At 42.7% G+C, this 15,210-nt stretch overlaps 1 protein-coding gene and 2 long non-coding RNA genes across 13 annotated transcripts in view; 2 read left to right on the plus strand and 1 right to left on the minus strand.

The window, feature by feature from the left end:
- PDE8B (phosphodiesterase 8B) overlaps nucleotides 1-15,210 on the plus strand; it is a 341,542-nt gene that overhangs the window by 29,343 nt on the left and 296,989 nt on the right. For both annotated transcript variants that reach the window (NM_001414622.1, NM_001414623.1), the window contains one exon: nucleotides 2,263-2,464. The gene's annotated coding sequence lies outside the window, so the exon portion shown is untranslated. The remainder of the gene's footprint in view (nucleotides 1-2,262; nucleotides 2,465-15,210) is intronic.
- Nucleotides 1-15,210, plus strand: part of ZBED3-AS1 (ZBED3 antisense RNA 1) — a 62,587-nt gene that overhangs the window by 29,343 nt on the left and 18,034 nt on the right. For 6 of the 9 annotated variants that reach the window (NR_182763.1, NR_024398.2, NR_182766.1 and 3 more), the window contains one exon: nucleotides 2,263-2,464. This is a non-coding gene — a long non-coding RNA (ZBED3 antisense RNA 1). Of the gene's footprint in view, nucleotides 1-2,262; nucleotides 4,653-15,210 lie in introns of those variants that run through there. The other 3 variants (NR_182765.1, NR_182764.1, NR_182768.1) reach the window with 1 other exon arrangement.
- Nucleotides 11,651-15,071, minus strand: LOC124901008 (uncharacterized). 2 transcript variants are annotated; one of them, XR_007058827.1, is made up of 3 exons: nucleotides 15,000-15,071; nucleotides 13,763-13,826; nucleotides 11,651-11,727 (listed from the first exon to the last, which is right to left on the minus strand). It is a non-coding gene; the product is annotated as an uncharacterized LOC124901008 (long non-coding RNA). The 2 variants fall into 2 exon arrangements; XR_007058826.1 differs by having other exon boundaries at nucleotides 14,984-15,069.

The following is a 15,210-nucleotide window of genomic DNA, read 5'->3' on the forward strand; positions in this document are numbered from 1 at the left end:
TTTAGAAAAAGAGATACAGCAATGACGAACTTGTTCCCTGGGCAAATTACCAAGTAAGACAATCAAAGACACAGATTTTCATAGGTTTTGTTTCCAGGAAGATAGCAGTTTCCAAAGTCTTCAGAGTCTGAGAAGACCGAGTTCTTCTATATATATATATATATATATTTTTTTTTTTTTTTTTTTTTTTTTGAGACAGAGTCTCACTCTTTCACCCAGGCTGGAGTGCAGTGGCACAATCTCGGCTCACCGCAACCTCCACCTCCCGGGTTCAAACAATTCTCCTGCCTCAGCCTCCCGAGTAGCTGGAATTACCAGCATGTGCCACCACACCCGGCTAACTCTTGTATTTTTACAGAAATACAAAAGAGATGGAGTTTCACCATGTCGTCCAGTCTGGTCTTGAACTCCTGACCTCAAGTGATGCGCCCGCCTTGACCTCCCAAAGTGCTGGGATTACAGGCGTAAGCCACCACGCCCAGCCTCTCAAATTATATTTCTAAGGACACAGTTTTAATAGAGACAACAAACTTAAAACTGTTAGAAATTTTCACCTGCCTCTATATTGTACAGTAAAGTAAAATTGATATTCCTTAAAAGTTCCAAGTTGAGAGCAAATGTAAGCCTGTACAGCCCAATTTTTCCATAAACAGAAACTAAGAAAGTAATAGGATTTTACTAAATACTAGTGAAAAAAAGAACATAGTATTAATCTTCCACATAAACAAGGTCACATGCAAACATGAGCAAACCCCCAAAGTTGTACTGTTTGTGTTTCTTTATGGAACTCTTCTCTAGGTAACATATCTGACACTCCAACCCTCTTCAATTCCCCCATCACAATCCTGAGAAAAGCATTTCTTCTCTCACCACCACTGCCAGAGTAAGTGCCCTTTCCCCCCAGGCTCTCAGCCAGTCCAGCTTTACTTCTACACCCGGTTTCCACCTGGCTCATTTCTGCCTCTGGCCTTTTGTTCAGCTTTCCCTGCTTGGGGCACACACCCCATTCTCTTTAGTTCTTCCACGATTCTGAACTCTTATAGAAATCACCCTTCATCTAGATTGTTTGCCTCTGAACCCTCTAGGCCTTGCTAAGGGGCGGGTAGAGGTTGGAATGAGAGCAGAGGGGGCAAAAAGTTCTGGTAGTCTGTTTTTCAGGACAAGCGCTCTGTCTCTGGAAATGGTAACAAGAGCCACATTAAACAGAAAGGCTTCCTTTCATGGATGTTTCTGTTATATATATGCATTTTTTTTCAATCGGAGAGAAGAAGTGTACTTCCCCTGGCATTCAGTCATGTTCAGGATGAGGAAGTCAGACAAACAGGGAACCTAGGTTTTATGTGAACTTGCTGATTGAGACTGACAATGCCTGGTACTTGGATAGGACTCCATCTTTACCTTTACCATGAAGACAGGGTCTCACTGTCACCCCAACCACTTGCCTGATAGTATGGTTCCTGGGTGCTGGGGGACAGGGTAAGGAGTGGAGAGGTGTTTAGGGGGAGGAATACGGTTAGGAATCTTTTGTGTGTTGGCAGGAAACCTGGGTCCACCAGTTCCGGAGATCCTTGTTTACTATATACCAGACAGCGAGGCTGGTGATGATCTGGAAGATGTTTATTCAGAAGCCAGCAGCCAAAAGGGGTGGACAGAGCCAGAGGCAGGAAGTAAGAAAAGGTGACCTGAGAGCAGGAAGAGCAATGGAGTCATATAAATCACATACTGTCTTGTACTGCGATTGAAATATGCATCCATTCGTTTATACATTCATTTTTTTTCAACCAATAGTTACTGAATGCCTGTGTATTCACATTATTGAATGTGAATTCAATGCATCTTTTTAAGGTGGTAGTTCTTTTTGTTTTTTGTTTTTTTGGTGGTGGTGGTTGTTTTTTGAGACGGAGTTTCGCTCTGTCCCTTAGGCTGGAGTGCAGTGGTGCAATCTCGGCTCACTGAAAGCTCCGCCTCCCAGGTTCAAGCAATTCTTCTGCCACAGCCTCCTGAGTAGCTGGGACTACAGGCATGCACTACCACACCCGGCTAATTTTTTAAAAATTTGTTTTATTTTTAGTACAGATGGGGTTTCACCATGTTGGCCAGGCTGGTCTCAAACTGCTGATCTAAAGTGATCCTCCTGCCTCAGCCTCCCAAAGTGCTGGGATTACCGGTGTGAGCCACCACGCCTAGCCTAAGGTTTTGGTTTTGTATCTAAGTTTAGAAGCATCTAAATTTTAAGTTTTATTGTTGTTGTTGTTGTTGCAGGAAAACACAGATCCTGGTGCCGAACATGAGGACAGGGCAGGCCGAAGGAGAAAGTGGAAGGAGGGGAGCTTCTCTCTCAGCCTCATCCTTCTGGGCCTGGATGCTGGAGAGTCATGAGGTGCTTCAGAGTACTCTGGGTGAGGAGGGAAAGATGGTGCCCACCACATGGAGGCCAGCCTAGGTCTTGTATGAAACCTGTGAGGTATGAAGGAGTAATTTTTCTTTCTAAGCCATTTCTCTGCTTATTTCTCAGATCAGTGCCCTTTATGTTTGAACTTGGTGTGAATGACCATCTTAGTGATTCTTACTGCAATGACAATAGGGAGTTAAATGACATAAGTTTCTTTTTCATGGGAAAGGATATAAAAATGTATCTGCATGTGGTCAGTGTAGAATATTCCCAGCCAGAGGTGCAGTTTTCTGGATCCCTCCCACAGACATTGTGTGGAAGCACACCTATTAACCGATAAGGGGCGAAATTTCACCAGAATAGAGAAGCATCCTCTTTGCCCTTTTCACAGGGGTGGGGATGAGGTTAGGGGTGGGGTTATACCTTCTTTGCTCACCCAGCTGCTTCTATATATCTTAGCCTGGATATGCCTAAACTTAAGCCAAAACAAAAACTCATAGACAGGTAGTTTATTTGCAAAATGATACTAGGGATCAGGAGTAAGGAATGAGAGTAAAGCAGGGGAGGAAGAAAAGCCACTGCAAGCATGCACTGTCAACAGAGGAAGGACCAACAAGCACATGAAAGGTCTCAGTGTTACTAGTCACCAGAATTCAAATGAAAACCACCACGAGATACCTACTAGATGCCTATTAGAATGGCTACATTAAAAAGACTGCAGCAACAAATGTTGGTGAGGGTGTGGAACAGTCAGAGCTCTCATCAATTGTTGGTAGGGGTGTAAATTGGTACAACTTTGGAAAGGTCTGGCACTTTCTTAAAAAACTAAACACACACTTTCTATGACCCAGCAATTTCATTCCTAGATATTTGCCCAGCAGAAATGAAAATATCTGTATATAAACAGACTTGTTTAAGAATGTTCATGGCCTGGCGTGGTGGCTCACGCCTGTAATCCCAGCACTTTGGGAGGCTGAGGCGGGCGGATCACGAGGTCAGGAGATCGAGACCATCCTGGCTAACATGGTGAAACCCCGTCTCTACTAAAAATACAAAAAATTAGCTGGGCGTGGTGCAGGCGCCTGTAGTCTCAGCTACTTGGGAGGCTGAGGCAGGAGAATGGCATGAACCCAGGAGGTGGAGCTTGCAGTGAGCAGAGATCGCGCCACTGCACTCCAGCCTGGGTGACAGAGCAAGACTCTGTCTCAAAAAAAAAAAAAAAAAAAAAGAGTGTTCACAGCAAGCAGCATTATGTGTTATAGTCAGAAACTGGAAACAGGCCAGGCACGGTGGCTCATGCCTGTAATCCTAGCACTTTGAGAACCTCAGATAGGAAGATCGCTTGAGGCCAGGAGTTCGAGACCAGCCTGGGGAACATAGCAAGACCCTGTTTTCACAAAAAATAAAGACATTAGCCAGGCATGGTGGCACACATCTGTAGTCCTAGCTACTTAGGAGGCTGAGGTGGGAGGATCACTTGAGCCCAGGAGTTCAAGGCTGCAGTGACCTATAATCACCCACCCTGGGTGATACAGTAAGACCTTGTTTCTAAACAAAACAAAACAAAACAAAAACTGGAAACAGCCCATTAACAGAAGAATGGATAAAAAAACTGTGGTATGTTCATGCAATGGAATATTGCCCAGCCATAAAAAGGAATAGAGTATTGATATAATAATATGGGTAAATATTAAAGCATGCTGGGTGAAAAAAGCCTTACGCAAAATAATATGGTATTTTCCTATTTAAAGTTCTAGAATAGGCAGAACTAATCTGCAATGAAGAAAAATCAAAATAGTGATCTGTGCAGATGTGGGCGTACAAGTAGGAGTTGACAGAGAGCAGGCATGAGGGAATGTTCCTCTACATCTTCAAAGGAGTTTGGGTTACACATGTCAATGTACTTTTCAAAACTTACTGAATGGTACACTTACAAGTGTTCATTTTATTGAATATAAATTTTGCCTTAAAAGAAAGACATCATAAATGAATACTGAAGTTTAGTTAATGATATGCATGCTGAAGTGTTAAGGGTGAATTATACTGTTATCTGAAAAGTACTTTGAAATGCATTAAAAATAAAATAGATTAGTAGATGGATAGAATAATAGATAAATGGATATACGTATGATAAAAGAAATAGAATAAGATATTAGTTGTACAATCTAGATAGGGATATATGGGTTTTGACTGTAGCATTCTTTCAACTTCTCTGTATGCTTGAACATTTTTATAATAAAAAGTGAGGTAAAAACAAAAACACATGATCACATTGGCTACAACTGAGCAACTGTTGTACAAGCCTGTCAGGACCGTTGAGGAGTTTTCTGAAATCTACTTCAGAACCTAACACCTGGGTGGTGGAAGGGAAAACATTTATCTGTTGGCTTCTTTCTCCTTGTGTCAGTGCTTAAAGCCCTCTTGCAGGTGCCCTGCACCTTAGAGAATTCCCAGGGTAGGGAGCTAGAGTACACAGCATGCATGGGCTGATGTGGCATGCTTCAGATTGCACCTGTGTGTAGCTGGTCAAAGCCTATGCAGAACCAAGAGTCAAACAAGAGGATGGAAAGTGCTCCAGAAGTATTGTGTTAGTTACTCATTGCTGCTTAACAGATTACCCTCCAAACTTAGTGTCTTACAACAAACGAACAGCTATTCTCCACAATTCCTGTGGGTCAGGAATTCAGGAGTCACTTAGCTGGCTGGTTCTAGCTCAGGGTCTGCCATGACATTATATTCAATATTTCAAGCCAAGGCTGCATTCATCGGAAAACTTGATTGGGGCTGAAAGATCCACTTGCAAGGTGGTGCATTACATGGCCCTTGGCAGGAGGCTCCAGTGTCCCTGCCACATGGGCCTCACAGTAGGTCTGCTGAGTGTCCTTGTAACATGGCACATGGCATCCCCCAGAGTGAGTGATTATGGGGGGAGGAAAAAGTCACAATGTCTTTTATGACCTGGTTTTGGAAATCACCCGCTGTCACTTCCACCACCTTTTATTATTTAGAAGTGAATCACTAGGTACATTTCACACTCAAGGAGAAGGGAATTAGGCTTCCTTTTTTTTTTTTTTTTGAGACAGAGTCTCGCTCTGTTGCCCAGGCTGGAGTGCAGTGGCACAATCTTGGCTCACTGCAACCTCCGCCTCCCGGGTTCAAGCAATTCTTCTGCCTCAGCCTCCCGAGTAGCTGGGACTACAGGCGTGCGCCACCACGCCCAGCTAATTTTTGTATTTTTAGTAGAGACGGGGTTTCACCATATTGGCCAGGCTGGTCTTGAACTCCTGACCTCGTGATCCACCCGCCTCGGCCTCCCAGAATGCTAGGATTACAGGTGTGAGCTACCGCTTCCAGCCTAGCTTCACTTTTTGAAGGAAGGAACATCAAAGAAGTTGAGAACATGTTTGGAAACCACAACAGATTTCCATTACGTTTCACCTTTGCACTTCTTAGGACTTTTGTGCTCTGCATTAAGTCCAGTCTGCCCAGAGTCTTCTTCTAGAGAGTGGCTAGCTCCAAATCCTACAAACACTAAATACAGGAAGGTGAATAGAACAAGTTACATTCCCTGCTGATGCAACAGGTTCCAAATCCATAAATAGTACTTGTCATCTCCATTTTCCACCATTTGCTCTAGATTTCCCTTAACCTTAGCCAATTATTTGGCTGATGTAGGTTGCTTTCCTGATGGCTGACTCAAAACTTTACCTCTGAGGGGTCTGAGCCTTTAGTTGACCTTGTAAAGTCATGATCACTGCGATTGCCCATCCACCATCACCAGTCATGGAATCATCAATAGATGTCCCTGTGAATCTTCTATGTCCTAGACACAGTCCTTCCTGCACACATAATGTAACAGCAGCCTTAGCTCTTCATGGTAATCAGAGTCGATTACTCTTTTCAGCATAGGAACACCTCTTTTTTCTTGCTGGTCTACTGCCATGAGGAACCCAAAATTCAAAAACAATAATCACACTTTAAGGTGAATGGAAGCGCTATCATTTCTGCTAGTGCGTACATTCACCCACCTGAAAGTGGGACAATTAATTCAGCAGAACCTAGGCTCATTTGATGGGAAATGCACAACACTTTTAAGTGGATCATGAGAAGTGATGGTGAGGGGGGCAATCCTACTTCTACCTCATGTTTCCTGGACCAATGTTGCTAGACACTGGGAACATAACACCATGTATCAGCTATTGTTTTAGCACATATATACAATATTTTGGAGGACAGTGTCATTACCAACAGGTCGTTCTACCTGAGCCTGAGCTGACACTAAAAATCCTTTTCAAAAACTTCTGCTTTCAATCATGAAGGAGTAAGCCAGCCTGCAATTACATTTTGAAAGTAAGCAACTAGAAAACTAAACAAAATGTAGGAAAAAAACTATTTTAAGACATTGGGTAAGAGTCCAACGAGATTGTGATCCCCATGAAAAGGAAACGAAAGGGGCAAAATACACCCTGGTGTAGGCTTTCTGCCTGCAGGTAGCTCCAAGATTGTGATTCAGGGAGATGAAATTATACAAAGTGTTGTCATTGAATTGAACAGAGATTATAGTTCAAGAAGACCAAGGTAGCTATGATTTATAAGGCAGAGCACCTGTCTAAGTCCATTTTCTGTTGTTATAACCAAATACCTGAGACTACTTAGTTTATCATGAAGAGAAATCTATTTCTCACAGTTCTGAAGGCTGAAAGTCCAAGGTTGAGGGGGTGCATCTGGAGGGCCTTCCTATTGGTAGGCAATCTCTGCAGAGTCCCGAGGTGGTGTAGGGCATAGAGAAGGAGCTAAGCATGCTAGCTTAGCTCCTCACGAAGCCACTCATGTCCCACACTCGTGACTTTATCTCATTCTAATGACATCCAAAGGTGCCGCCTCTCAAATACTATAGTTGAATTCCTCCCCCACCGCCCCCCGCTTAATATTGTTACAGTGGGGATTAAGTTTCAACATGAGTTTCAGAGGGGACAAACACTCAAACCATAGCATTACTTGAGAGGAGAGCTCTCAAGAAATCTTTGGCTGGGTGCAGTGGCTCACACCTGTAATCCCAGCACTTTGGGAGGCTGAGGTGGGTAGATCGCTTGAGCCCAGGAATTTGAGACCAGCCTGGGTAACATGGCGACATCCTGTCTCTACAAAAAATACAAAAAATTAGCTGGGTGTGGTGGTGCACACCTGTGGTCCCAGCTACTTGGGAGGTTGAGGGGGAGGATCCCCTGAGCCTGGGGAGGCAGAGGTTGCAGTGAACCATGATGGTGCCACTGCACTCCAGCCTGGGCAACGGTGAGACTCTTGATTCTTTGCCTGAACACCAAACTAGTCAGGAATAGGATGAAATCCCATAGGACTGGACAAGAACAACTTTCAAGGAAAGAATAGTTCTGTGTAAGCTGTGAGACAAATAACCAATAACCAGAGTTCACACAGAGCTGGGAATCATTTGAGTTCCCTCTAGTCAGAGTAAACAGACCTTGGTGAATACACACGACATTCAGTAAAAATCCTGGAAAGGCAACAGTTTGAAGTGGGGCTAAATTATTTCTCAAATAAATGCTACTCTAGAACACGCTAAAAGAGCCTAGAACATACCTCAAAAGGATCAAACTAATCTGCAAGTAAAAGTCCAACAGAAAAGATTCAACACTCTTCAAAGAAATACAGAATTTCAGCACCCAACAATGTAAACTTTACAATATCTAGAATCTAATCTGAAATTAATAGACATATGAAGAAAAAGAAAATATGAAGAACAGTCAAGAGAAAAATTGGTCACAAGACTCAGACCCAGAAACAACAGAGACTATGGAATTATCAGACAAGAAGGTTAATATAGCTATTGGAAATATGTTGGCTAGGCCTGGTGGTTCACACCTGTAATACCAGCTCTCTGGGAGGCTGAGGCGGGTGGATTGCTTGAGCCCAGGAGCTCAAGACCATCCTGGGCAATGTGAAAATCCATCTCTACACAAAATACAAAAAATTATTCATGTGTGGTGGTGCACACCTGTATCCCAGCTACTTGGGAGGCTATGATGGGAGGATCGCCTGAGCTGAGGAGGTTGAGGCTGTAGTGAGCTGAGATTGTGCCACTCACTCCAGCCTGGGTGACAGAGTGAGACACTGTCTCAAAAAAAAAAAAAGAAAGAAAGAAAGAAATATGTTTCTTATATAAAGAGATGAAAGGACGTGAAAGTTATAAGAAATAGAAGATTTATAAAGGACTAAACTCAAGCTTTTAGTGATAAAAATACAACATCCAAAATTGAAAATACACTGGATAGATATAATAGCAGATTAGACACTGCAGAAGAAAAGAACAGTGAACATAATGACACAGGAAAAGAAGCTACCCAAAGTGAAGCACAGAGAAAAGATGGAGAAACAGCACATCAGTGAGCTGGAGAACAATATCATGTGTGCATCTGAAGTAAAAGAAGGAAAGGAAAAAGGAGGGAGAAAAATGTTTGAAGAATTAATAGTAAAAGAAATTTCTAAATTCTTCACACCTGTTAGGATTTTCACGTTGTTTTGTTTCACTTTTGAGGAAAAAGAGACAGGGTCTTGCTCTGTCACCCAAGCTGGAATGCAGTGGCACTCATAGCTCACTGCAGCCTCAAACTCCTGGGCTGGCTTCAGTGATTCTTCCACCTCAGCCTCTGGGGTAGCTGGGACTACAGGCATGCACCGCCATGCCAGCTAAATTCTTTTATTTTAATTTTTTTTTGTAGGGATACATTCTTTCTATGTTGTCCAGGCTGGTCTCAAACTCCTGGCCTCAAATGATTCCCCCGCCTTGGCCTCCCAAAGTGCTTGGATTACCACGCCCCACTGTTTTCTTTAAAAAGGAAAATAACAGTTGTTGGCAAGAATGTAGAGAAATTGGAACTCTTGTGCATTGCTGGTGGGAATATAAAATTGTGCAGCTGCAATGGAAAGCAGTTTGGTGGTTCTTCAAAAAGTTAAACAGAGAATTACCATATGATTTAGCAATTCCACTCCTAAGTATATGCCCCCAAAGAATTAAAAGCAGAGACTCAAATAGATACTTGTACACCAACGTCCACGGAAGTGTTAATTTGCAAAAGCCAAAAGGCATAAACAATTCAAATGTCAAAACAGACGAATGGATGTATACACATACAATGGAATATTATTCATCTTTTTAAAGACAAGAAATTTGGGTATCTCCTACATCATCCTTTCAAGGATGAACCTTGAAAACATTATGCTAACTAAACTAACCACAAAAGGAAAAATATTGTATGATTCCATTAATATGAAGTACTTACAACAAACAAATTCATGGAGACAGAAAGTAAAATAGAGGTTTCCAGGGTCTGGGGGAATAGTAGATTGGGAAGTTATTGTTTAATGAGAACAGAGTTTCAGTTTAGGGTGATAAAAAAAATTCTGGAGATGGATGGTGGGAATGGTTGCATGACAGTGAGAATATACTTAGTGCCACTCAACTGTACACTTAAAATGGCAAATTTTATGTTCTGTATATTTTACCACAATAAAATTAAATCTCTTAAAAGTTAGTTACAGCCGGGCTCAGTGGCTCACGCCTGTAATCCTAGCACTTTGGGAGGCTGAGGTGGGCGGATCACGAGGTCAGGAGATCGAGACCATCCTGGCTAACACGGTGAAACCCCGTCTCTACTAAAACTACAAAAAATTAGCCAGGTGTGGTGGTGGGCACCTTTAGTCCCAGCTACTCAGGAGGCTGAGGCAGAAGAATAGCTTGAACTGGGAGGTGGAGGCTGCAGTGAACTGAGTTTGTGCCACTACATTCCAGCCTGGGCGACAGAGCAAGGCTCTTTCTCAAAAAAAAAAAAAAGTTAGTTACTACTGTTCAAGAATAAATTGTGCCTTATTTGCCAATATACGTCATTTGAGGAGGATGACAAAAATTGAAGAGCTTGATGGAATTCAGTTTTGAAAAGTGAGATCTATCTGTGTTTCCTACAAACTTTATTTTTTTTGAGACAGGGTCTCTTTCTGTCACCCAGGCTGGAGTGCAGTGGCACAATCACAGCTCATTGCAGCCTTAGTCTCCTGGGCTCAGGTGATTCTCCCACCTCAGCCTCCCGAGTAGCTGGGACTACAGGTGTGTGCCACCATGCCTGGCTCTTTTAAAATTTGTTGTCAGGGTCTCTCCATGTTACCTAGGTGGTATTGAACTCCTGAGCTCGAGCAATCCTATCTGCCTTGGCCTCCAAAAATGTTGGGATTACAGGCGTGAGCCACAGCACCCGGCCCTACAAACTTTTAAGAAGATAAATGCTTGTAGAAATTTAATTACATTTTGCTTCTATGAATTCCTGATGAAAACTTTCTGAAATCTGTCATAAATACATAATCAAAAGAAAAAATAAATATCTTTAATATTTTCACATCCCTGAGCTTTCTGACTCCTTCCTTAGTGCTATGGCAAGCTCCAGTCCAGGCAAGTTGCAGCTTCTGGACTTTATTTATTATAGGCCACTATTTTGTCCAAGCCTCAAGAAATCACTCTTGCAGTGTATTGCTACAGGTATCCTTGCCAGGACACTGAGTTTTCTGATCAAGGAAGGGTGCTCCCAGGTCAATAAATTCACCATTATCCAGCTTTCTATTCCACTCACCCACCCTAGTGCAACATCCTCAAGATCCACTTTCACAAGCTTATCCAGGTTCCTGCCTGTATACATTACCCAGGTGAATGGTTTGGCTCTGTGTCCCCACCCAAATCTCATCTCGAATTGTAATCCCCATGTGCTGAGGGTGGGGCCTGTAATCCCCATGTGTTGAGGGAGGGAGGTGACTGGATTATGGGGGAGGTTTCCCCCATGCTGTTCTCGTGATAATGAGTGGGTTCTCACGAGATCTGATGATTTTATAAGCATCCAGCATTTCCCCTGCTTACACTTCTCACTCCCGCCACCCTGTGAAGGTCTTTGCTTCCTCTTTGCCTTCCACCATGATTGTAAGTTTCCTGAGGCCTCTGCAGCTATGCAGAACTGTGAGTCAGTTAAACCTCTTTCTTTTATAAATTACCCAGTCTTAGGTATTTCTTTATAGCAGTGTGAGAACAGTCTAATACCCCAGGTCCTTCAGTTTCTTTAGTAAACTATTTCCTACTGCAGCAGGGATACATTTCCCCACCTGCTTGAGCCAAAACCTGACTCCAGTTATCATGGAGTCAGTTAATTGGAGATGGAAGGAGACCTTGAGGAAGACAGACATCACTTTGCAAAGCAAGATTCAGGTGAGGTATTTTCAGGGTCTCCTGGCAAGATGAGGCTGATGTCCCCAGCAAGGAGAAGAAGGCTGACTTTGCTCTCCTAGAGGATGAAAATTAATCTAGTGACTCAATATTCTCAGACTTGTCTATCCTATCCCAGCTCTTAAGATTTTAAGCTTTTCCTATCAGGGTTCTAACTTTGAAATAGGAGATCTGTGAAGGCTTGGCGTTCTGTCTCCTCTATGACTTTGTCAACTGTTGTCTTAATCTTCAAGACAGTATTCCCTGTGCCTGCAGGAGATCAAATTCTTTTAACCATTGCTCTATTTCACCGTGGGCTTGAGTTGATAGTTGTCTAACATGACCCTGTCATTTTCTTATTTTGAGACTTTCAAAGCAGTTAACAAAAGCCAGTGAATTCCCCATTCCTTTACAATTATAATTGCCTCCATATTGTCCAAGGACCATAGTTACCACTTGACCCAGAGCCTCTCCCTTCCACCTGTACCTCATCCCAATCCACCACAGGTGAGAACCTTAATTGTGTTGCTGCTGGATCTGCACTTACCACTCAAGCTGTGATGGGAATGATGAGAAAAACGTTCTTCTCTTACAGTGACCGTCCTGGCTACCTGCAAAGTATGCTTAGAATTCTAGATTCCTTTGAAGTCTGGGTAAAGATCTCCCAAGGGCTGGCTGATGGGGACATGGGGATTCTTAATCCTGTTCACCTACAACGTGCCATCCAAAGGGAACCTCAGAAGTAGTAATTGCCCACCTTTATGGGTTGTGCATGCATGACTGCCAAGCAGCTTTCCACAGGCATCACAGACTCTGGTGTCAGACAAGCCTTGGAGCAAAAGCTACAGATCCAGTGTCTGGGCTGAGGCAAGGTCAGGTTATGCCTGTGTGGAACTGCTTGCCTTCACCAGTGACTGGGGTAAGTGGCCAGGCCAAAAGGATGTGAAATGGTGCTCAAGAGTTCTGGTCCCCTGGAGGCCCTGACTGGAGCCAAGTGTCAGCACACGAAACATCATCAGCTCATTCTGGAGCATTTACTTTAACTCAAGTATTAATAAATAAATTGGAAGTCAATTCACAGATGCATCGGACCAGAACTAGGTCAAAGTCTATTTGCCTAATCAATGCCCTGGCTACCCTTTTGTCTGTGTGGTTGTACGGGGTTTGGTTTGAGTCTGAGGACCATGATCACAAGTCCATTTCTCAGTGGACTAAACAAGAAACCTGGCTAAAGATTCCCAGACTTATTAACGTCCTTCCCTTTACCCAGATATTAGCTTGATGACAATTTCATTCATCAACCTAGGTTTGAACATAGTTTTCAGTGTCCAAATTCTTTCTGGATAGTTTATTTCTCTGTTCAGTTATTAGGTCTGTAATCTTTTGTATGATCTGTGTCCACATAAAAAATTACCAACGTTTTCCCAACTAGTTTAGTAGTGAAAGTACCATCTAATTTAAAAAAAAATCTTCAGTGTGGGGGAAAAGGAGGACAGATGTGATTATTAGACTGTCATCATGGGTCTCTAGTTGTTTTAAAAAGTTATAGCTACCTGAGGATTTTTTCAAAAGATTTTATTATGAAAAATTTTAAACATCCACAAAGTATAAATAATAAAATAATAAATCCCCGTGTCCCCATCAGCCAGCCCTTGGGAGATCTTTACCGAGACTCCAAAGGGATCTAGAATTCTAAGCATACTTTGCAGGTAGCCAGGATGGTCACTGTAAGAGAATGGTTTTTCTCGTCATTCCTGTCACATATTGAATGAGTGATCACATTTCTACCTTAGAAATGGATTACTTCCCCTCTGGTGGGTTTGTTTGCTCAGGTTCCCTTTAACCAGAGGGTATCAGGGCCGGGGCCAGGCATGAGGCAAGATCTAGCTGTGCCCACCGGAGGGAGCAGTGTCCTCCTGTTTCACAGTAATTTGCTGTGGATTGGCCCTGATACTTGTCAAGAGTTTTATTTAGCTCTGTTCTTCTCTTTCTGTTGGAATATCATTCATTTTTCTTGGACTGTGGGATGCGGTCCATGACCTTCACACTAGCTCTGGCATTACTGTCTGTAGTGTTTCGCAGTAAAAGAATTGGCATAACGTCACCCACCCTACCTCTACACTGTTTGACGTGCACATTTCCATCAGTCTAGGCTGCTCACTGTTTTCCATCTCGGTTCTGGGAAGCCAGAAAAAAATTGGTTTGAAATTGAATTTTTAAAGTATGTTTTTCTAATGAAACTCCTAGATGGCCTTGATTGTGTTTCCAGATCTCCTCTCATCTCGATTCTGTTTTCACACAGAGATGCAGTTGTTTTTCACAGTCTGGAGCATAGAGAAAATGTGGACTGCACTCTATGCTGATCAGAACCTATATAGACCTCTGGATTTTATTTTGGGCACTGCATTTGAAAGGATATAATGGCAAACTGGAGTGGGGCGGGGGTGAGGGAGGGGAACTAACAGATAGGTCTGAGCAATATCTGATGAACAATTAACCATGTAGAAAAGAAGACCCAGGGGAGGCAGAGTAGCTATCTGCAAAAGTTGTGTTGAAATATAGCTGTGATTGGTGTGGGGAAGTTAGAGAAAGCAAATTTCAGCTTATTATAAGGTTAGATTAGAAACATCCAATAGTTAAACTAGACTGACTCATAAAGACGTTAGTTCTCCTTCCTGGGAGTCAGATAAATGCCAGGTAACATCTCTCAGGAATATACTTCGGGGCGGGGAGGGGAGTTCCTCATAATAGAAAACCCATCTAGAACACTTATTTTCTTCCAAGTACTCTTCTAAGCACCTTTCCCTTATTATTTATTTAACCCTCATGACAACCTTATGAAATAGGCACTTCAGATCCACAGCTTTTATCTGAAAACCTTAGGACCAAAATTCTTAATTTTTTGGATTTTAGAAAGGTATATGACACATACACCTTATGGTAGAAAACACCCCCATGGGGCTGTTCTCCATAATCAAATACATTGATATTTATACAGTGAGGCATGTGAATTTTTGCATTAAATGGAATACTTTTACATGAGTTGGGTTACGTTTTGTTGCCAAATGAGTTCAGATCATCTCTTCCCACCAAAAAATTTTGAAATAATTTTAGGTTTTTGCATTCTGAATTGTAGAAAAGAGATTATGGACACATATTGCTATTCCCAGTTTACTCATGAAGAAACTGAGGCAGAGAGATTAAGTAGCTTGCTCAAAGTCATATGACTTCCACCCAGGCAGAAATCAGGTTTGAGCCCTGCTCTTAAGCACTGTGTGGACTGCCTCTCCCTGTGCTCTTCTGCCTCCTCTCTTTGAGGGGTTGGGCTTAGTTACCTGCAATGTCTCTAACCTTGTGCCTTCGATTCCCTGACCTCTGACTTCAGCCAGCCTCACTGGTTCCAGAGCGATACTCAGAGCTGTTCTCAGATACCAGACTGGAATAAACGAGAGACATCTGGAGAAAGGAGACCTCTTCCTATCCCAACAGGACTGTGTTTCACAGGAGGCATTTTAGTGTTGTTGTTCCCCAATGGCTAGGCAGAGGCAGACAAAGAGAACAT

The sequence above is a fragment of the Homo sapiens genome, chromosome 5 (assembly GCF_000001405.40).
Source record: "Homo sapiens chromosome 5, GRCh38.p14 Primary Assembly".
In the NCBI taxonomy this organism is placed as follows: Eukaryota; Metazoa; Chordata; class Mammalia; order Primates; family Hominidae; genus Homo; species Homo sapiens.